Source organism: Homo sapiens, chromosome 4, assembly GCF_000001405.40.
Source record: "Homo sapiens chromosome 4, GRCh38.p14 Primary Assembly".
Classification (NCBI taxonomy): domain Eukaryota; kingdom Metazoa; phylum Chordata; class Mammalia; order Primates; family Hominidae; genus Homo; species Homo sapiens.
Window position 1 is genome coordinate 37767487 of NC_000004.12, and position 23722 is coordinate 37791208.

The 23722-nt window shown below is 43.0% G+C and overlaps 1 annotated feature.

Moving 5' to 3' along the window:
- Window positions 19857-20356: an enhancer, noted in NCBI's record as "H3K4me1 hESC enhancer chr4:37788965-37789464 (GRCh37/hg19 assembly coordinates)". NCBI's record gives its function as "activates a minimal SCP1, AML or CMV promoter by ChIP-STARR-seq in naive H9 embryonic stem cells {active_cell/tissue: H9 hESC(naive)}" and the evidence as "EXISTENCE:reporter gene assay evidence [ECO:0000049][PMID:30033119]".

Genomic DNA, 23722 nt, shown 5'->3' on the forward strand with positions numbered 1-23722 from the left:
TCTATTCTCCTGTAAGTGAGGCAGAGCCTGGCAGTACCCTCTATGCCACCTCTCACTAGTACAGGTTAGCACTCAGGGTGGCCCACTGGTGTGTGTCTCAGCTGCTGGTGTGCGTGCTGGTGCAGGTACAAACCGTCGTGATACATTTTACTCCCACTCCTACTAATTACAGCTTGTGTGTCCTTCAGTCATTCACTTCCCTTCACATGACCAGCCCAGCAGAAATGAACTACCAGGAACATGAGCTCAGAGCGATGGGCTGGCCACCTGCCAAGCACCTCTGAATGGAAAGAGCAGAATTTTGCATTGCCTGCCATGCCACGTGGAGCAGGCCCTGGGTGGCTCTTTAGGGGATGGGTGTGGACTCCCACAACAAAACCAAGGGCCATATTCAAAGTTAAAAGCTCTGCCATAGATGGTATTTGTTGAGGCTGTGTGTGGTAGCTCATGCATGTATGCCCAACACTTTAGGAGGCTGAGGTGGGAAGATCACTTGAGGCTGGGAGTTCAAGTCTAGCCTAGGCAAGATAGTGAGATCCCTTCTCTAAAAAAGATAAAATATTAACTGGGCATCATGGACGTGCCTGTAGCCCCAGCTACTGGGGAGGCTGAGGCAGGAGGATGGCTTGAGTCCAGGAGTTTGAGACTGCAGTGAGCTGTGATTGCACCATTGCTCCCTAGCCCGGGTGACAGAACAAGACTTTTATTTCTTTAAAAAAAAAAAAAAAAAAGAAGGTGTTTACTGCAGTTGCTTTATTAAAAAAAAAGTAAATGAATGTTCTGACTGTTCTACTTTTGAAAATAAGTGGCAAGGAATTAGAACTGTATCTTTCAGCAACAAAATGTACACTGTGGTTCCATGTCACAGCCAGGAATGGAGTCAGATGTCTCAGACCAGAATCACAGCTCTGCCACCTCCTGTGACATGGACTTGCTAAGCTACCTTGACTCTCTGGAGCTCACTATGCCCATCAATAACAAGAAATAAATAAATCCGTCCTGTAAGGTTGTCAGGAGAAACAAATGAGGCACTATATGTGGAAGTTCCTGGAATAGTGACCAGCACAGAGGACGTCTCAAAGAAAGATTTGCTGAACCCCAAAAGACAGGAGGACTGGAGGAACAACAAAGAGACAGGAAAGCTAGCATTGATTGGAGCCAAGTATTTTCTCAAAGAGTTATCTCACATTATATCTTGCAAAAGCCCTTCAGGAAATTGGCATTATGCCTATTCTAATAAATAAGGTATTTCAAGTGCAGAGAGGTTAAGTGATTGGACCAAGGTCGTGAAGTGTGGGAGTGACTGAGCCAAAATTTTAAAATCAGGTCCTCAAGACAAAGTCTCATAAATCAGGTCTCATGATAGCTTCTTGACACAGAGGGGAACAGGGGAAAAGGGATAGAAGGACAGACACAAAGAGAGGTGAGAGTAGCAATTGAGAGATGCCCTAAAGAAGGTGAGGGTGGCCGGCGGCAGTCAGCCAAATAAATCCACTCCTTTACCTATCAGGAGTCACTGGGACTGCACTGGGTCATGCATCTGTGCTGTCATCTCATCACTGCCTTCATTATATTTCTAATTATTCAATAGTCACCATTTGCAATTAGCCTTCCCAATTTTCAAGTTTTTCCTTCTTGGAAATTTCCTTTTTCCTTCCCTGGGTACCTGTGATAGGCTGAATAATGGCCACCCAAAGATGTCGACATCTTAATCCTCAGACCTTGTAAAGATGTTACCTTATATAGCAAAAAGGACTTTGCAGAGATGGTTAAGGTTCTTGAGATGGAGAAAATATCCTGAATTCTGCAGGCGAGCCTGTTGCAATCACACGCATCCTTATAAGAGGAGGCAGTAGAGTTCGGGGCAGAAAGAGAAGTTGTAAGGACAAAGCCAAGGTCACAAAGGAGAGAAGATGCTCTGATGTTGGCTTTGAAGATGGATGGGGGAGGTAGTGAACCAAGGAATGGAGTCGGACTCTAGAAGCAGGAAAAGGCCAGGGAGCAGATTCTACCCTAGAGCCTCCAGAAGAGGCCGAGCCTGAGACACCTTATCTTTAGCCCACTGAAATGGGTTTCATATCTCTGACCTCCAGAACTGTAGGAACATATGTCTGTGTTCTTTGTGGTAAATGGTACAGCAGCATTGGGGAAATAATACAGTACCTCACCTTCACCCCCTGGGTATTTTTGCCTCTACAGCTTGGTACTGTTAGACATTGGCCTAACAAAAATAATAACAGCCACTTGCATAGAGCTTCAAGATGTGCCAAGAGAATCTTAACACCTGAGAGCTTACCAGGTGCCAGGCATTGTGCAAATACTGTATGCGTTGACTACTGGTTCCCACAAATATCCTATTACTTGCCCGTGGTCACATTGAGCCAAGATTCAAACCCAAGTGTCTAACTTCACAACCCCTATTCTCAATTGCCTTTCATTTTATATTATATATTTGATATCTCATTTGATTCTTATGTCAAGTCTTACAAGATCATTTATTTTTTAAAAAGTCTTTCATTTATAGATGAGAAAGCTCAAGCTCAGAGAGTTTAAGCGATTTTGCCAAGACCATTCATCCAGTAAGAGTCAAAGCCAGCCCTCAAACAAATCAAACGTTTTATTCTCTTTGACCCATTCATAAGAAATAATTATTTCTCCCTTGAATTCTTCCAGGTCTTTGTAAATGCCTGTATTACCACAATGCATTTCAATTATGCATGTATGTAATACAAGCTGTTAGAATGCCAAACCCTTGTGGCTCAGTCTTGATATGATGTCATGATTAAAGAGGCATAGGCAGCCAAAACCATTCAAAAAGGAAACTTTATTCTTTGTCTTTTTAAAAAAGGAGGGAAGACCCAAGTCTCTAGCCACACATTTCTATCCCCTTTCCCTTTTCCAGTCTTCTCTGCTGCACTCCACAGCCTCATGTTCACCACCCACCCTCCAGATCCTCTCTCCTCCCTTCTCCCCTGGCCCTAAGCGACATTGTTCCTCTCTCTTTCTCACTTTCTCGCTCTCTAAATCCTTATTAGATCTCCTTAGCTTCCCCTCTACATCTTTTATCTCCTCTCATCAGCTTTTTAAAATTCTGCACCACAATTTTTTGCCTCACTTCAGAGAGTGTTTCACACCAGAGGCAGTCCACTGGTGAGCCGGGTAAGGAAGGGTCTCTTCATCTCCAGCAGTGGAAGATGGGGGAAAGGGGCAGCCTGGAGAGAGTTATCATCAGCCATCTTTCACCCTGTCACACGAGTGATGACAGCAAACCTTTGTATGAATACCACTTTTGTTTCTGATGCTGCTCCGGTCTGCTTATCTATGCTATTTCTTTCTCTTTTTTAGGGACAAGGTTTCCCTGTGTTGCCCAGGCTGGAGTGCAGTGGCATGATCATGGTTCACTGCAGCCTTGACCTCCCAGGTTCAAGCAAACTTCCCACCCCAGGCTCTTGAGTAGCTGGGATGCACCAACAGGGATGCACCACCACGTCCAGCTAATTTTTTTATTTAATTTTTTATTTTTGTAGAGATGGGGGTCTTGCTATGTTTCCTAGGCTGGTCTCGCACTCCTGGGCTCAAGTGATCCTCACACCTCCGCCTCCCAAAGTGCTGATCTATGCCATTTCTAATCTTCCCCATAACCCTGAGAATTAGGTACTTAAAGAAATCAATGTAGAGTTATGTGGTTCCACAGGCCTTCCCCTCACACCCTCTTCCTTTCCTCATCCCACACTACCTCTCACCATATCTTCTAGCTAAACTATGAGCTCCTCAATGCCAGGTGCCATGTCTTACTCATCATTTTACTCCTAGAGCCTAATCACAGAACTGGGTACATAAAAAGTATTTGAACAAAAAGCAATGCTTTCAGCTGGGTGTGGTGGCTCACACCTGTAATCCCAGCACTTTGGGAGGCCGAGGCAGGCGGATCACGAGGTCAGGAGATCAAGACCAGCCTGGCCAACATGGTGAAACCCCCATCTCTACAAAAAATACAAAAATTAGCCAGGCCTGGTGCCGGGCCCCTGTAATCTCAGCTACTTGGGAGGTGGAGGCAGGAGAATCGCTTGAAACCGGAAGGCAGAGGTAGCAGTGAGCCAAGATTGCAGCATTGCACTCCAGCCTGGGCAACAAGAGTGAAACTCCATCTCAAAAAAGAGAGCAATGCTCTCATCACACCTTCAGCACAACTCCAAAGGAAGTCATCACTGGCACCACCCCACCCCACCTGTGACAGTCATGATCTTTCTCGCCCTCCATTACTGAAGCCACGACATTCATACCTATCTGGGTTCTTAGAATTCTCATGCAGAGAGCTGGGTGGGCTGTTGTACACATCTAGTCTAAACCCTTACTTCATTCATGAGGAAATAGAGCCTAGAGAGGTCAGCCACCTGGCCAATGACCTTGTCCAGTGCTTTGTTCATTATATTCTATGGCTTCTCCTTGCTAAAGAAGAGTTGCAAATACAAAGCAGGAAGTTGGCACTGACATTCTTCAGGTGTTTTTTTTAGGTGCCAGCCTGGACCTAGTACCAGCAAGCCATATGGCTTACAGATTATCTTTTTACATAATTTTCCAGTAAGTTTTATGCCTTATCACTGAACTCAGAATGGATTGAGCCAAAATTCTTCTTCAATTCAGGGACGGCCATTTGACCTCCAAACGCTTTTCTTTACTCATTAAAAAAAGGAAAGAGCACTGACCCTGGGAATAAAGAAGGAGATTTGGGTTCTGGTTCTGACTCTGATATTTGTTCTTGGGCAATTTCCCAAACATCTGACAGCCAGCTTTGAGTCAAGGGCTCCCTGATGGTCTTCCCTAGACTGCATCGTGAATTTGTCTACCCAGCCTTCCCTTTCTCCCCTTTGCTCATGGGCTGATGACTCCCCAGCTCTTGCCTGGATCCCCAGCCCCGCCTTGTCTCAGATGCTTCCCTTAATAAAACCCTTGCATATTTAATCCCATCTTGTCATCTGCTTCTCGGAGGACCCAAATTAACAACCTACTTTTCCAAACATATTTATTCATTATTCAAATTTGTCTCATTAGAGTCCCTCAATCATGCAGCCACATCCCTTCGGGCCCAGAATTCATTTTCATCCAACCCATATTTACCAGTCTGCCCATCTTGTGCCAGGCACTGTGCTAGGTGCTAATGGTCACAGTGGTGAACAAGCCAGACATGGTTTCCTGGAATCTACATTCTGGTGCAATGTTCCTCTGCCTTTCTCCCTTCTTATCAGTCTCATTTCTTCTTCAAGAGCCCCCCTGAGTTCTTCCCACCTCTACTCAAATCATCCCAGCCCAGAGTCACATGGTACCTGCAGAACTTCCCTAGCTCTCATTGTTTGTATTGCTCTTTTGGTACTTACAATTCTTTATGTTACATTTTGTGTTTATGTATTACCTATGCAGCTTGACTTTTAAATGTTTGAGGATAGAAGCAGCCTTTTATATTTTTGTGTGGTAAAGCAAATTGGCATGCAATAAAAATGATATTTATCATGTATTGAGTGCTTATTATTTTCCAGGGAAAGAAATTTTCAAAACTATGGGAGTAGGTAAGTGTATTAATCTTGTCTTGTATTTGCTATATTTGGATGCTTTGACATCTCGGGTTTTGCTGACCCTGGAGGAACTTCTCCCAGTGTTAACCAATCCCTAGAGGTAGTAAACAACTTGCTCTCTAGTGTGTTCTTCAAATGCAAACCAAAACAGAGCCCGCACCCCAACCATTTCCTTAATGGGGCTGTCATACTCCATTATCTATTAATCACCACAGGAGCAGGTATCGGGTAACTACAGACAGTCCCTATGCCTCAGAGCCTGCTGAAGTTATTCAAATTATCCAATCCTAAGACTGCCCCCACCACCTCGCCCTTGCATTGCCCACAGTTATTCCCTTTCCCTCTGCCTCCTGACCAAGACTGAGGCTTCCCTGTTTGCCCCACCCCTACCCCCATGCTATGGTGTGCCCCCTTTCCTGGGAACCTTGAGAAACAAACTATCTCTTCAATGGCAGTCACCTCCTGATCTGTCCATCTTAACTGTACGTCGAGTTTTCTATGAATACTCTGTAGTTTAAAGCAGTCAGGAAGTTATCAGATTTTTTTAAGGAGGAAGTTGCATGGGAAAACTTAAATAATATTGTTTTATATTTGGGAAAAAAAGTCAATTGTTCTGGAACATCAAATAAAGTAAAATCTGACTTCCTTTTCCTGGTAGGTGGAATATCTGATTCTGCCATGATTCTCTCCCCGGGTCAGCAGTGGAGGAAATACATGATGAGGAAGGAAAGAGACGTTTGTGTTGGTCTAAAGGGAGCCATATTAGGATAGGACAAGGATGTTGTAACAAAGGCATCTTAGTCCATTCTTGCATTGCTTTAAAGAAATACCTGAGGCTGGGTAATTTCTAAAGAAAAGAGGTTTAATTGGCTCACAGTTCTGTAGGCTGTACAGGAAGCATGGTGCTGGCATCTGCTTCTGGTAAAGGCCTTAGGAAGCTTTCAAGCACGGCAGAAGGCAATTGTGAGCCAGAACATCACATGGCCAGAGAGGGAGCAAGAGGGGAGGTAGGGGGAGGGCCACACTCTTAAACAACTAGATCTCATGTGAACTGAATGGGAATTCACTCATCACTAAGGGAATGCCACTAAGTCATTAATTGGGGATCCGCCCCCATGACCCCAACACCTCCCACCAGGCCCAACCTCCAGTACTGAGGGATTATATTTCAACATGAGATTTAGAGGGACAAACCTCCAAACTATATCAAAAGGGGTACAACAATTAACCTAGAACTTAAAAAAGCTAGAAGTTTATTGCTGTGGGAGGTGAGTAGTCAAGGTTGTTAAGAGCTCTGTTCCATACAATCATTGAGGCCCTTGGGGCCTTCATCTCATCTGCATGATCGAGTCTGGGTGCCATTGGTTCTAGTCAGGCAAGGTGAAACAGCATAGAGGAGGCACATCCAGTGTCATAGGCAGTAGCTCAAAATGGCCTACATGGTGTTCACTCACATTCTATTGGAGAGAACTTAGTCCCAGGGCCACATACAACTGCAAGGCGGCTACCATTCAGTTACCATGGAAGGAGAGAAAACTGACTTGGGGGAGAGTGACACTCTCTTACAGCACCATAGGTGGCAAAAGCCTGAGAAATACAGCCTTGCATGCATCTTACGGGTTTTATTATTTTCATTTGACAGCTGGGGACACTTAAGCTCAGAATGATAAAGTAATTAATTAATCCAAGGTCATACCTGTAGTTGAAAGTGGAACTGGAATCTGAAGTCAAGACTACAGGATTTTAAAGCATCTTTTCCTTGCATTTTCTTAAACACTTGGTACTCTACATTCCTTTCTGTTCTTACTAATAGTCTTCAGTTTAAACATTTATCTCTTTTAGTTTGAGTCAAGTGTTTATTTTGCTCTTTTTCCTTCTAAAGCCTATAATTTACAAAATATGCCCATCTATATTGATTGTGTTTTCTTTCAGCTCACATCTCCCTTTATTTAACTTCCCTCATGTTCATTTTTCTTGCATTTGGTCACTCTTCTTTCACATCTGAATTATCATAATTCAAACATTGTTTTTCTGATCTATTCAGTGTTTATATCATTGTTTGTTTTTCTTTCCTCACCTTTTTAATAACTATTCCTGTGGAAATATGAATACTTTTGGTCTGAGTTAGCCTATCTTGATGTCAATCAATTAATAAAGTCCAGGAAATAATAAAGTTACTTTAAGTTTCCAAAACATGTTTGCACGTGAAATGCCAAGCCATTTTATTAAATACACTTGAAGTATTGTATTAACTCTTTTTAAATTCAGTGTACAAAACAAGCTGTCATATAGTAAGGTTGCTGATAATCACAAAGTAAGTACCTAGAAACATCTAAATTCTAAGCCATGACATCATTGTTCCCAAGTAATAAGGTAAGAAAGGTAACTTGAAAGTGCAGGAGCCAACATGATAAACAGTAACATTATTTCCTGGTTTTTACTATGTAAATTTCCATGTACTTGGGCTTTAGCCTGGAAAACATTTATATAAATTAATTATATCAGATTAACAAAGGGAAAATCAACTGGATTTTGAACTTACTAATTTCAAGAGAACATTCCAAATAATAAGAGAAATTAAAAATTAATTTTTCTCTTACAAGTAGATCTATGCAGCTACTGTCCTAAAACTTCAAAAGTTTGTGTAGTCAAAAGAAAGAAATTAAATACTATTTAATGCCCCTAATAGAGTAAATATTTTCTTGCATCTTTTGTCTATAGTTCTAGTAGTCATGGAAAATGGAAGATGCATTTTGTTTTTTAAAAAAAGTCATAAAAAAATGGATTAATGATACTCATCAAAGCATCAATTAGGAAGCAAATGTGGATGAGCTCCATAGCTAGAGAGAGGGTGAAATCCAGCTGCGTTCTTCAGAGGAGGCTAACCGCTGTGACAATCAGCCCCAGCACTCCAGTGTTCATTTTTCATTTGTGAAATAACACAATGTGAGTGTTCCTGGACAGGTGGCCCTGCTGTATGGCTCTTTCCAAGCAATGACTCGGGACCCAGGCTCCTTCAATCTTGTATCTCCGCCATCACCTAGGGCATCAGAGTCCTCTGACTTCCAGCTTCGCAGATAACAAGAAAACAAGAGTGGAGGATTTGGGAGGAAGATAGTCAACAGACCACATACCCAGGAGCAAGACTGGGAAATTGAGTCTGGTTCTACATCCTGGAAGAAAAGGAAACAGGATAGTAATTACTGCCATGCCAGCATCTCTCTCCCAACACAATACAAAGCAACTAATTTTCAAAGTAACTCCATTTATATCCATTTCTGTAGGAAAGTGCAATGGTTAATTTTGCATCAACTTGACTGAGATAAGGGATGCCCAGATAACTGGTGAAACATTATTTCTGTGTGTATCTGGAAGAGATTAGCATTTGAATTGGTAACTGAGAAAAGAAGATCACCCTCACCAAAGTGGGTAGGTGTCATCTAATCCACTGAGGGCCTGAATAGAACAAAAAGGGAGAAGAAGAGGGAATTTGCTCTCTCTGTTTGAGCTGAGACATCCATCTTCTCCTGCCTTCAGTCATGGAAGCTCCTGGTTCTCAGGCTTTAGGACTCAGACTGTGACTTGTACCATCAGCACCCCTGGCTCTAAGGCTTTCAGATTCAGAGTAAATTACACCTCCAGCTTCTCTGGTTCTCACGGCGCTTCTTGGCCTCCATAACGGCACTAGCCTATTCTTTTATATACATATAAAATGAGAATTGTTACTCCAAAGGAAGATTATCTTGTGTGGGCCTAATCAGGTGAGCCCATTAAAAGAGGGCCTAAGAGTCAGAGACAGAACACAGAGAGATTTGAAGCAGCAGAAGACACTCTCTGTTGTCCTTGAAGAAGCAGTTCCATGTTGTTTTGAAGAATTCAAATCCCTTCATAAATGTACATAATGTCTATGCCATTTATAAACAAAATGTAGCTTTCCAATTTATTTTGTGCGATGGAAGGATCAACAAGAAATTCAATGCTGCACAGGTAGCCACATTTCATAATCTGTATATTTGGAGATGTGTCCAGGTGGCAGCTTGGCAGCTCCACTGTCCCCTGTAGCTTCTTCTTCTTGTTCTTCTACTTCTTCTTCTTCATTTTTTTTTTTTTTTTTTTTTTGAGAGGGAGTCTCATGCTATCACCTACACTGGAGCTCACTGCAGCCTCCACCTCTTGAGTCCAAGTAGTTCTAGTGCCTCAGCCTCCTGAATAGCTGGGTCTAAAGGTGTGCACCACCACACCCGGCTAATTTTTGTATTCTTAATAGAGACAGGGTTGCACCATGTTGGCTAGGCTGATCTCAAACTCCTGACCTCAAGTGATCCATCTGCCTCAACTTCCCAAAGTGCTAGGATTACAGGCGTGAGCCACCACATCCACTCCCCACCCTCCCCGTAGCTCTTCCAAGGGTTTTCACACCAGCATGGCTACCTAGCAATAAAGTCTCACCATTAGGATTCTGTGGTTTGCAGCACAGATACCATTCCTTCCACACAGTATTCTAAAACATGCAGAACCATTTAACATGGAATCTTTTGAAATCCCAAAGCCACAGTGATCTTTTAAATTCACAAATCTGATCACATCACTTACCTGCTTAAAATTACCCAATGACCACCATTGTCTACACTGTGAAGTTCAATCAATGCCCTGACAATCTAGACCCTGCGTCCCTGTCTAGCTTCATCTCTGGCCCCTCTCCATACACAGGCTCTCGAATCTACTTGTTGTGAACACATGTTGTTATTTCCTACCTGAATGTCTCAGCTGCTCTGGCCTTCTCCTTCTTTGAACTAACATCTATTTGTCCTTGAGAACTTTACTTCAACTGCCATCTCTTTTTGCGTTCATTATTTGTTCCAATTATTTGACCCTTATACGAGTATCACTCCTTTCCAAATTATTCAGTTTCTGAGATTGAATGGTGAAGGTTTAGTAGTGAGTTTGGGTAGCAAGGGATACTTATATTATTTAAATATATTTGGTTCCCAGTTTCAAAGAGCAAGTATTAAGTGTATGGATAGTGAGGGCCCTAAGCAGTATGTTAATATAAATAAATACACACACACACACACACACACACACACACACACATCTAATCAGTTCCTGATATTGGATAGCAAGGCTACCTGATTATAGTTTTATTTCACAACTTACTTTTCATGTACATACATGATGTACAAAGGCAGCATAGTCTGTAGGGTTAATGGTATAGGGTCTTCAGCATGACTGCCCAGGTTGAAACCCCAGCTCTACTGTTTACCAGCCTACCTCTCTTCCTCATTTTCCATAGTTGTAAAATGGAAAAATAATAGGGCCAATCCCATTAAATTGAGAGGATTAAATGAGTTAATACATATAAAGTATTTACAATTGAACATGGCTCATGGAAAACACTCCATAAGTATTAGCTGTTAGCAGTAGTCATAGTAATTGTTTTGTTATTTATGCCTTGGTTTGTTCCAAAAAGAATGTAAGGTAGTGTGTGTAAATGTGTGTGTGTGCGTGTGTGTGTGTGTGTGCATTTTACTCCTCAATTAGCTTGCATGCTTCCTAGGGGCAGCAGCTGTGGCCTGTAATTTCTTTGTGTATTTTTAAAATGGCTAGCACAGTGCCAAGTATATGGTGAGTGCACAATAAGTATTAATTCCTCCTCCCCTTTTCTCCTTAAAATACACACCATGTTAGTCTCTGTTTTCTCCCACTACGCTGAGCACCATGCTTGGCTCAATGGTATATGTGTGTTGCTCGGTTGGACTGTTGTTGATTGCCACAGCTTGTTGAGCCCTACAGAAGTGCCTCAGCCTTGGACGGATATTCACTGACCCATTCAACAATCTTGTCCACCATTTTGTCTGCAGATTGAGTGTGCAGTGTTAATGAGCTTTGACAAGACAGAAGAGAACACGTTCACAATAACAATTGAAAATAACCCTTTTGATATGGCTGGGATATTTGTTCACTCCAAATCTCATGTTGAAATGTGATTCCCCAGTGTTGGTGATGGGGCCTAGTGGGAGGTGCTGGGCCATGGGGATGGATCCTTCATGAATGGCTTGGTGCTTTCCTCAAGGTAATGAGTGGTAGTAAGTTCAGCTGAGATCTTGTTGTATAAAAGAGTGTGGCATCTCCCCACTCTCTCTCTCTCTCTCGCACCCTCTCTCTTCATGTGACACACTTGCTTTCCCTTCACCTTCTTCCATGAGTAAAAGCTTCCTGAGGCCTCCCCTGAAGCAAAGCAGATGCTGATGCCATGCTTCTACAGCCTGCAGAGCCATGAGACAAATAAACTTCTTTTTTAAAAACAAATTACCCAGTCTCTGGTATTCCTTTATAGAAACACAAAATGGACTAACACACTCTCTATTCTTAATGGGGAGAAAAGCTAGAATTGCAGTGAAATGAAATGTTTGTGAAGAAAATCATGACTGACTTCCATTTAAAAATGTTTTTTACATTTAAAAATATGTGAAGTTCAGCTGGGCACGGTGGCTCATGCCTGTAATCCTAGCACTTTGGGAGGCCAAGGCAGGTGTATTACCTGAGGTCAAGAGTTCAAGTCCAGCCTGACCAACATGGCGACACCCCCTCTCTATTAAAAATACAAAAATTAGCCAGGCATGATGGCGTGCGACTGTAATCTCAGCTACTCAAGAGGCTGAGGCAGGAGAATTTCTTGAACCCAGGAAGCAGAGGCTGCAGTGAGCCAAGATCATGCCACTGCACTCCAGCCTGTGTGACAGAACAAGGCTCTGTCTCAAAAAACTAAAAAATAAAAAAAAATGTGAAATTCAATGTGCCTGATGATGCTGCCAGAAAAGAGAAAGCTAGCCTGAGTAGACCTTCATTCAGTTCTACCCTTTCTTAAAGTATGTCCTGTGGAAGCTTAATGCTGAATTAAAGTCTCCTAGAAACCTTATTAGGGGATTTGGGTCAGGGACAATAGTTGTTCTTCATGACCTTCTTTTGTAACCTCCTAAAGAATGCTGTCTATCATCTCACTAGGTTCACAAGGCTTGTTTTGTCCTTTGTAGTATCTCCCATGGCCCATCCAAGGGAAAAGGAAGTTCTTGCTCAAAGAAAGTTTGTGCACTATGCAAATGCAGTGATATCATTTTTCATCAGGCTGAACTAAACAGCACACAACAAAACCAAGAACCTACACCACTGCTTGTGCACTTACATGCTAACATAAACTGTACAGATTTATAGTCCCTGATGTGTACAACATCCCTTATGTATTAGTCTGTTCTCATGCTGCTAATAAAGATATACCTGAGACTGGGTAATTTATAAAGGAAAGAGGTTTAATGGACTCACGTTCCTTAGGGCTGGGGAGGCCTCAGGAAACTTACAGTCATGGCAGAAGGAGAAGCAAACACGTCCTTCTTCACATGGCGGCAGCCAGGAGAAATACAGAGTAAAGGGGGGAAAAACCCCTTGTAAAACCATCAGATCTTGTGAGAACTCACTTACTATCATGTGAACAGCATGAAGATAACCACCCCCATGGTTCAATTACCACCCACTGAGTCCATCCCACAACACAGGGGGATTATGGGATCTACAGTTCAAGATGAGATTTCGGTGGGGACACAGCCAAACCATATTACCTTACATATGTGAATTATCTTGTTTGCTTCTGAACAGAACAGTGGTAACTACAATTGCTCTACATTTTACATTTAGGTGGATCTTAAGGTGACAAGATTTTACTCCTTTTCACAATTTTTGTGATGGGACAATAAGCAGGAGAGGAGAAAAAGGCAAAGGAGCATGTAAAAATAAATGACCTGTTTTTTACTATGTCCCCTTTCTCAGTAGAATATGAAAACTTCCTGTGTGGGTCCTTTTATGGCTGCTTCTAGATTTTCAAAGCTGTCCCAGCTGAGACGCAGGCAAAGAGAAGAAAGAGGCTGGGCTGAAAACCACTGCAATTTCCTGGGGAGAGAGTGCCCCCGGATGGGCCATTGATCTTCATTGTTCCTGCTAGACAAATAGACTTCTCAACATCAAATAAAACTTTACTTGATGAAGATTTGTTTGGAAGGATGCTTTGTTTATATTTCTTTACCCTTTTAGATATTACCTACAATTTCTGAGCACATGTGCCAAGATAAAAGAACTTAACAAGCAAAGAAAAAGGGCGTTTTTTTCTATAGGGAGAGGTTCTGAAAAATCCAAGAACATAAGACGGGTTTGTATACTGGCTGAACAACATGGGGTGGCTAAACTGGTTGTGTTTCTAAATTCTTTCAAACAGGCAGAGTTACTAATTTGTCTTATCAGATGCTCAGCATGATAAATCTAAACCAAATTATCCTATCACATGAAGTACTCTTCCCTTAAGAATCAATTAAGCATTGGAAAAATGAGAATTCTTACTTCTATGCAGAAATGATACTGTGTGGTTAGCTAAAACTAGGACTGTGTTAGCAAAACACAGACTGTATTAGGACTATGATTTGTGTACAAATCACAAAACTGATCATTCCAAAGAGAATGATAGAACAAGGGTAGCCTGGGAGTTTCTGAACTAGCATTGTAACACAATGAGTCAGTTGGTGTATCCCTCAATTCGGCTGGATTAATTTTTTTTTTTTTTTCTTTTGAGACGGAGTCTCGCTCTGTCTCCCAGGCTGGAGTGCAGTGGCGCGATCTCGGCTCACTGCAAGCTCCGCCTCCTGGGTTCACACCATTCTCTTGCCTCAGCCTCACAAGCAGCTGGGACTACAGGCGCCCGCCACCACGCCTGGCTAATTTTTTGTATTTTTAGTAGAGACGGGTTTTCACTGTGTTAGCCAGGATGGTCTCGATCTCCTGACCTTGTGATCTGCCCGCCTCAGCCTCCCAAAGTGCTGGGATTACAGGTGTGAGCCACTGCGCCCGGCCTCAGCTGGATTACTTTATCCCCAATACTGTCACCCTACTAGTTCCTGTCTTGCAGTGAAAAATAGCAGATCTGTGAGTCCAGGAGCTGGCTCAGGTTGGGGTTCACTGCTAGAATCACCCAGGTTGCTTTTGATAATGAACTCTATCTTCAGTCTGCAAAGTAGGTCGTGGGAGAACAAGTGAATTGAATATTGTTCATGAACTTTTATCATTTAATAGGGCTTCACTATAGAAAAAGTAAAAAATACAGGTAAGAATAAAGTAAAAGTTTTTTTACTTTTAAAAACTTTCCATTACCAAGAAGAAATCCTCTCCACTTTTTAGTGTGCGTTATATCCATCTGGATTTTTCTTTATAGTGTAAGTATGGTGAAAGCATGTGACTCAAGCTTTGATTCCAAAGTCAGCTAATGTGTTAGTCCATTTTCATGCTGCTGATAAACACATACCCAAGACTGGGTAATTTATAAAGAAAAAGAGGTTTGGCCAGACACGGTGGCTCACACCTGTAATCCCAGTAATTTGGGAGACTGAGGCAGGTGGATCACCTGAGTTCGGGAGTTCAAGACCAGCCTGACCAACATGGAGAAACTCCATCTCTACCAAAAATACAAAATTAGCTGGACGTGGTGGTGCATGCCTGTAATCCTACCTACTCAGGAGGCTGAGGCAGGAGAATTGCTTGAACCCAGGAGGTGGAGGTTGTGGTGAGCCAAGATCGCACCATCGCACTCCAGCCTGAGCAACAAGAGCAAAACTCCATCTCAAAAAAAAAGAAAAAGGTTTAATGAACTCACAGTTTCACGTGGCTGGGGAGGTTTTACAATCATGGCAGAAAGAGAAAGGCATGTTTTACATGGCAGCAAGCAAGAGAGAATGAGAGCCAAGCAAAAGGGGTTTCCCCTTATAAAATCATCAGATCTCATGAGACTTATTCACTATGATGAGGACAGTATGGGGGAAACTACCCCCATGATTCAATTATCTCCCACCAGGTCCCTCCCACAACACATGGGAATTATAGGTGCTACAAATCAAGAGGGGATTTGGGTGGGAACACAGCCAAACCATATCAGCTAATAAGGAGGGGAAACTTACAAATTATCACTGAACTGTCCTTAAATCACTCATAAGATTCAGTATACACAGTTTTGTGTTTATAACCCTGGAGAGTGCTTCTTATATATAAGAAGTTTTGGGAATTGCTCAACTAGAATAAAAGAAGAAACAAAAGTAATATCTTAAAATAACCTGGGAGACAGGGAAAATTCCAAGTAGTTCTGCTTCCTGGCAGTATTTAATCTGTTATGTTTTAATATTAAGCAGCTATAGCCTTAATACCTATTAACAGATGTATTTAATGGATGGATTAAACAAGATAATGGAGTCACACCTTACTGGAATTAAATTCTAAAGTTGGTGCCTAAGAAACACCTAGGGTGAAATTCCTCTCTCATTCTCTTCTTTCTCTGCGTGTGTGTGTGTGTGCATGCGTGTGCACGTGCATGCACACACACACACATACATGTGTAAAACTCAAATCATACATGCTGTTTTGGAGCCCACTTTTTCCACTTAACAAGATATTTAACCATCTTTCCACAACAATGAAATATTCTAAAACACGTTTTCTATGTATGGTTACTATTCAAAAATGTTTTCACATAATTACATTTTTGTTGCTTGTTTTGGAGAATGTGACTTATCTATATGAACTTTACAAATAATGTGCACCATAAGTTACTGGATGGGCCCTCTTTGGTATCTGAAAATCCAAAGAAACTACATGCCAAGGACCTGAAGCTGAAGGGCCTGTGTTTCTGTAGTGAGCTCTCAGAAGCAAAGGAGGGGACATCACAACCCAAGCATTAAAATGACTAATTCTTTTAACTTTTAAGTTCAAGGGTACATGTGCAGAATGTGCAGGTTTATTACACAGGTAAATGTGTGTCATGAAGTCGGGGGGCAGTTTGTTGTACAGATTATTTCATCACCCAGGTGTTAAGCCTAGTACCCCTTAGTTATTTTTCTTCATCCTCTCCCTCCTCCCACCTTCCACCTTCCAATAGGCCCCAGTGTGTGTTGTTCCCCTCTATGTGTCCTTATCATTTAGCTCCCACTTATAAGTGAGAACATGCGGTATTTGGTTTTCTGTTCCTGCATTACTTTGCTAAGGATAATGACCTCCAGCTCTATCCATGATGATGACTAATTCTGTTGTTAATTTCTCACCATGGTCCAAGACATTTTGTTTTCCAGCCATTTATTAGTTATACTCTTTCCCCATGAAAGTGATTTTGCAGCCTTTAAAGTACAGGGCAATTGCTAGACAAAAACAAGCGAAATGAGGATGGACTAGAAGGAGAAAAACTGAAGGCAGACAGACAAGACATCTATGGAAATTTCAGGAATGGCAAGGGAGACATTAGTGATAGGGACGGGGGCAGAGAAATTCTAGGCAAACAGGCAGGTCCCCAGTGAAACCCCATCCTCAAGCCAAAAAGTCTGCAACTGTGGCCCAAAATGAGAATTTTTATCCCTGTTTTATCCCTGTTTTCCCACTCAAATGTTGCCTTTTTCTAAACTACCCATGGCCCCACCCCACCCCATCCTGTGCCTATAAAAGTTCCAGCCAGTAGGCAGGAACTATGGCTAGATGTTGGAGAGAAGTGGCTTGTCTTCAGAGAGACAACTTGTTGGTGTAACTTCAGAGAAGAATCTGGCCAGAGACAGCTGGACCTCAGGGGAAGATTACCTTCCCTCACTATCCTCTTTTCAGCCCTCCTTCCTGCTAAGAGTCACTTTCATTGGCAATAAAATCCCCCTGCATTTACCATCCTTCAATTCGTTCATGCAACTTCATTTTTCCCGGATGCCAGATAAGAGCTTGGGAGACACAAGCGTGGATTCAAAAGGCTGTCACACTGTCCCTTTGCTTTCACAGGTGGAGGGCAGCTGCCTCACATGAAAAGGCAAAGGGCCTGAGCTGTTAACTGAGCTGTTAACACTTAAGCCATCCAAAGATGGCAGAGCTAAAAGAGCTCTGTAACACTCCCTCTGGGGCTTTGGGGGTTGCAGACACCCCTGCCTGGATGCTGCTGTGGGGCCTGCATGGAGTTTGCTCCTGCTGGCGCTAAAGCATCCAGCCAGTTCCTGCACCTTCTCACCTGTCTGCTCCCTCCTACAAGGGCTGGAATGCAGCAGGTCTGAGTGAGTGGAGTGTGATCCCACCAGTGCCAAAGGAGCTGATTCCAGCACTCATCTACTCCAGTTGCCACACTCGTTTGATCATGTGCTCCCTCTCATGAAGAGTTGAGAGTGGTAGGCTGAGTAAATGAAGCACACCTGTCACAAGTCCCTCGAAGGGGTCAGGGAAATATCCTGCTTCACTAGTAGTGATGTTAAAGAAAGGACTGCGTGAAAGTGTCAAATTTGAAGACTGTAGGAGAGGAAGAATTAGCAGGGGTTGGTGATTAACTAAAGATCAGTAGAAGCTGGACATCAACCATGAAATCTCAGTGTTGTGACACATCCCATCCTTCCAATCTGCAGTCTGTGGAAGCCAAAAGCTCTCACCTGGATTCTGTCCATTCTCAAGGGCTGCATTTCCCTGGATTCTTCTCCTCTGTGACCTCTTTCTTTCTCAAGAGCTGCATCTGTTCACACCAGACAAACTCCCAGTGGAAAACTCATCACTCTCTTTGATTTCCCAAACTAGCTCCTACACAGCCCACATTTATGAATTCCATAAATATGGCAGATATTATAGGCTTGGTTGATCCAGCACCATGCCTTCTCCCTTGCCTGCATCTATTATAGAAGATATAAAAGCTAAATTATTTCCTTTCATCCCTTATATTCAGGGAGGCCACGTGATGCAAGTAGAAACTTGGTGAGGATATTTCTGGGAAAGAACTAACTATCTTTAAGTTAGTTAATTCTTAAAGAAGAACATGGCCATTGTTGGTACCTTTTTCCTCATTTTCCTTCTCCCTGCCTTGAAATATAAACGTAATGTGTGAGCCCATAGCAACTACCCTAAGACCATAATGTGGCAAGCATGAGCACAAAAGCCAACAGAACAAGGATGGTAAAGTGGAAATATAGACAGTGTCTGGGTCCCTGATGGCATCGTTGAACAGCTGAATCCATGCCAACTGCTACATAGCTCTGATTTTAAATAAACTCCCATTGATGTAAGCGACCATGAGTCTAGTATTCTATTATTTGCAGCCTAATATGTTCCTAACAAACAAAGAACTCTTTGTTGTGATATTTTGGAGGTCCCAGGGAAGGTGAAAATTATGCAACTTTTCACCATCTTGCTTATCCCCTACTAATATGGTTTGGCTGTGTCCCCACCCAAATCTTATCTTGAATTCCCACATGTTGTGAGAGGATCCCGGTGGGAGGCAATTGAATCATGGGGGCAAATCTTTCCCATGATGTTCTCATGACCGTGAATAAGTCTCATGAGATCTGATGGTTTCAAAAAGGGAAATTCCCTTTCACAAGCTCCTCTCTTTGCCTGCTGCCATCCTTGTAAGATGTGACTTGCTCCTCCTTGCCTTCCACCATGATTGTGAGGCTTCCTTAGCCACATGGAACTGTAAGTCCAATAAACCTCTTTCTTTTGTAAATTGCCCAGTCTCAGGTATGTCTTTATCAGCAGCATGAAAATGGACTAATACAGTAAATTGGTACCAATAGACTGGGGCACTGCTGAAAAGATACCCAAAAATGTGAAAGTGACTTTGGAACTGGGTAACAGGCAGAGGTTGGAACAGTTTGGAGGGCTCAGAAGAAGATAGGAAAATGTGGGAAAGTTTGGAACTTCATTGAGACTTGTTGAATGGCTTTAACCAAAAGCCTGATAGCGGCATGGACAATAAGGTCCAGGCTGAGTTGGTCTCACATAGAGATGAGGGACTTGTTAAGAAATGGAGCAAAGGCGACTCTTGTTATGTTTTAGCAGAGACTGGGCATTTTGCCCTTGCCCTAGAGATTTCTGGAACTTTGAAATTGAGAGAGATGATTTAGGGTATCTGGTGGAAGAAATTTCTAAGCAGCAAAGCATTCAAGATATGACTTGGGTGTTGTTAAAGGCATTGAGTTTTAAAAGGGAAACAGAGCATAAAAGTTCAGAAATTTGCAGCCTGACAATGCAACAGAAAATAAAATCCCATTTTCTGAGAGGAAATTCAAGCCTGCTGCAAAAATTTGCATAAGTAATGAGGAGCTGAATGTTAATCCATAAGACAATGGGGAAAATGTCTCCAGGGCATGTCAGAGGTCTTCATGGCAGCCCCTCCCATCATAGGCCCAGAAGCCTAGGAGGAAAAAGTGGTTTTGTGGGCCAGGTGCAGGGTCCGCCTGCTGTGTGCAGCCTAGGGACTTGGTGCCCTGCGTCCCAGCCGCTCCAGCCATGGCTGAAAGGGGCCACCATAGAGCTTGGGCCATGGCTTCAGAGGCTTACACCCTCTGAAGCTTCCACATGGCAGTTTGGCAGCTTCCACATGGTGTTCAGCCTGCGAGTGCACAGAAGTCAAGAACTGGGGTTTGGGAACCTCTGCCTAGATTTCAGAGGATGTATGGAAACCCCTGGGTGTCCAGGCAGTAGTTTGCTGCTGGGTCAGGGCTGTCATGGAGAACCTCTGCTTAGGGCAGTGCAGAAGGGAAAAGTGGGGTTGGAGTCCCCACACAGAGTCCTTTCTGGGGCACCACCTCGTGGAGCTGTGAGAAGAGGACCAACATCCTCCAGAATGATAGGTCCACTGACAGCTTGCACCATGCACCTGGAAAAGCCACAGACAATGCCAGCCTGTGAAGGCAGCTGGGAGGGAGGCTGTACCCTGCGAAGCCACAGGGGTGGAACTGCCCAAGACCATGGGAACCCCGCTCTTGTATCAGCATGACATGGATGTGAGACATGGAGTCAAAGGAGATCATTTTGGATCTTTAAGATTTAACTGCCCTGCTGGATTTCGGACTTGCATGGGGCCTGTAGCCCCTTTGTTTTGGCCAAATTGTCCCATTTGGAATGGCTGTATTTACCCAATGCCTGTACCCACATTGTATCTAGGAAGCAACTAACCTACTTTTGATTTTACAGGCTTATAGGAGGAAGTGACTTGCCTTGTCTCAAATGAGTCTTTGGACTGTGGACTTTTGAGTTAATGTTGAAATGAGTTAAGACTTTGGGGGACTGTTGGGAAGGCATGATTTGTTTTGAAATGTGAGGATGTGAGATTTGGGAGGGGCCAGGGGCTGAAACCCAAATTCAGGGTTTGGCTGTGTGCCCACACAAATCTCATCTTGAATTCCCACATGTTATGGGAGGGACCTGGTGGGAGGTGACTGAATCATGAGGGAAAGTGTTTCCCATGCTGTTCTTGTGACAGTGAATAAGTTTCATGAAATCTGATGGCTTTAAAAAGAGCTTGTCGCCTGCACAAGCTTTTCTCTTTGCCTGCCATCATCCACGTAAGATGTGACTTGCTTCTCCTTGCTGTCCGCCATGAATGTGAGGCTTCCCCAGCCACGTGGAACTATAAGTCCAATTTTACCTCTTTCTTTTGTAAATTGTCCAGTCTCGGGTATGTCTTTATCAGTCACGTGAAAATGGACTAATACACCTACTCTCTCTATGCTCTCTTCATTTTTCTCTCTTTCATTTCCCCATCTCCTCCGAAGAGCGAAGCGGAATTATCTCCTTGTTTTCTACAGAGCATTTGTGATCATGATGGATCTTTTTTAACTTAAATGTAACTTAGACATCTCTTCCTCCATTTCAAATATTTACCTTTTTTTTCCCCCAATGAAGTCAGCTCTCTCCCTAAAGAGAATTCTGATGCCAGGTGGTTCAGATAAAAATATCTTCTACTTTCCAACATAAAATATAAAGCATTTCTAAAAAGGATACCAGTGCTTAAAGTCCTAGAGATTGAAAACAGGACAACACTGCCACTATTGATAAGTTAATTCTGCATAGCAGTGAGAATCGATGACAGTGTTGACTCTGTTGGAGTGCAGCATGCTGTCTATTAAAGGCTGAAATATTGGACTTCTCTCTCCAGCCAAGGAAGGTCGTTACTGTGGGGCTTATTCTGTAACTGCCCAATGGGTTCACCTTGCCAGCTGCCTAGGCAGAGCTGATTTATCAAGACAGGGAAACTGCAATGAAGAAAGAGTAATTCACACAGAGCCGGCTGTGCGGGAGACCAGAGGAGTTTTATTATTACTCAAATTAGTCTCCCTGAGCATTTGGGGATCAGAGTTTTTAAAGATAAATTGGTGGGTAGGGGCTCAGGAAGTAGGGAGTGCTGATTGGTCAGGTTAGAGATGAAATTATAGGGGGGTTCAAAATGAGGTTTTCTTGCTGTCTTCTGTTCGTGGGTGGGATCACAGAATTGGTTGACCCAGATTACGGGTCTGGGTGATGTCAGATGATCCATCGAGTGCAAGGTCTGCAAAATATCTCAAACACTGATCTTAGGTTTTACAATAGTGATGTTATCCCCGGGAGCAATTTGGGGAGGTTCAGACTCTTGCAGCCAGAGGCTGCATGACCCCTAAACTGTAATTTCTAATCTTGCAGCTAATTTGTTAGTCCTGCAAAGGCAGACTGGTCCCCAGGCAAGAAAGGGGTCTTTATGGGAAAGGGCTATTATCAACTTTGTTTCAGAGTCAAACCATAAACTAAATTATTACCCAAGGTTAGTTCAGCCTATGCCCAGGAATGAACAAGGACAGCTTAAAGATTAGAAGCAAGATGGAATTGGTTAGGTCTGATCTCTATCACTGTCATTTCCTCAGTTATAATTTTTGCAAAGGTGGTTTCAATTCAACTGAGCATGCTCCCAGTATCTTGCACCTCCACTTTGAGATGATACTTAAACCCCAGAGAAAAGCCATCTGCCTCAACCAGCTGCACCTAAGACCCTGCCCTGAGCTTGATCAGCCATGAAGTGCTCACCAGATGTCATGCCAGGCCCCTATTGACTCCGATAGGGATGGCACCATACCCTAGAGGGCAAATAAGAGACCTGGAGACAATGAATGAGACATAGGGTTTATCAGGGAAACTCCATACAGGAATGGCCCAGTGGTGGCAAGCTGGACAGTAGCACCATTACTGTTTATAAAAAGCATGCAGTTTATACAGCATTTTCACTTAGGACCCTCCTCTCAGCAACCTCCATTTAACCCAAAACAAAGGGCCTCAATCCCTTCAATCTCTGGGTTGGCCACTCCTGGATTCCTTAGCTTGGAACTCCAAACACACATGCTTCTTAGACCCTAAAATCATTCTCAGGGTATGTTTAAATTATTGTTGTAAGGTGCATCTGCCATATACCAGGTAAAAACATGAGAATCTGTACCACACTGGGCTCAGAAAGTTCGTGTGTTCAGCCAGCAGAGGTCGGCTGACAAGACCATCTCAACCTTGGCTTGGAAAAGCTCAAGACAGTTAGTGGCTTCCTCAGAAATATGAATCTGTGTGTTCTCTACCAAGCAATAATTGAGATTACTAGGAATAATTGAGAATGTACTTCCTGATGAATGAGGGAGTACAGGGAACTTCACCTTAAAATTTGGCTCCTTGGTGTAAGGAATGAATTAAAGTCCCTTAGAGCTCAGCAAAAGCTGGAAGAGACTTTTTCTCTAGCTACATAAAGACAGGACAGACCCACCAAGGAGAATAATGGTTTTTCCTTTCCTTCCCTGTTATCTCATTATCTTTTGCAGAAAAGAAGATCACAAATGTAACCGCACCTGAACAGACTCTTTCACAAGATAATAACTGTCTCTCAGGCTCATTCTGTTTTCAAAGAGAACCATTTACAAGTTAATCTCCACTCCCATCCATTCATTCTCCCTAGTAATCATGTACTGCCCCTAAACAGAATTACCTATATTCCCCATCTCTCCCCCAGCCTCTGAAATAAGGCTATATAAGTATCTGGGCCCCACTGGGATTTGGGGGTGATATGGTTTGTGTGTTTCCCCACCCAAATCTCATCTTGAATTGTAATTCCCACAATTCCTATGTGTTGTGGGAGGGACCTGGTGGGAGATTATTGAATCATGGGGGCGGGTCCTTCCAGTGCTGTTCTCATAATAGTGAATAAGTCTCATGAGATCTGATGATACTAAAAAAGGGAGTTTCCCTACACAAGCTCTCTCTTCTCTTGTCTGCCACCATGTGAGATGTGCCTTTCACGTTCTGCCATGATTGTGGGGCCTCCCTAGGCAAGTGGA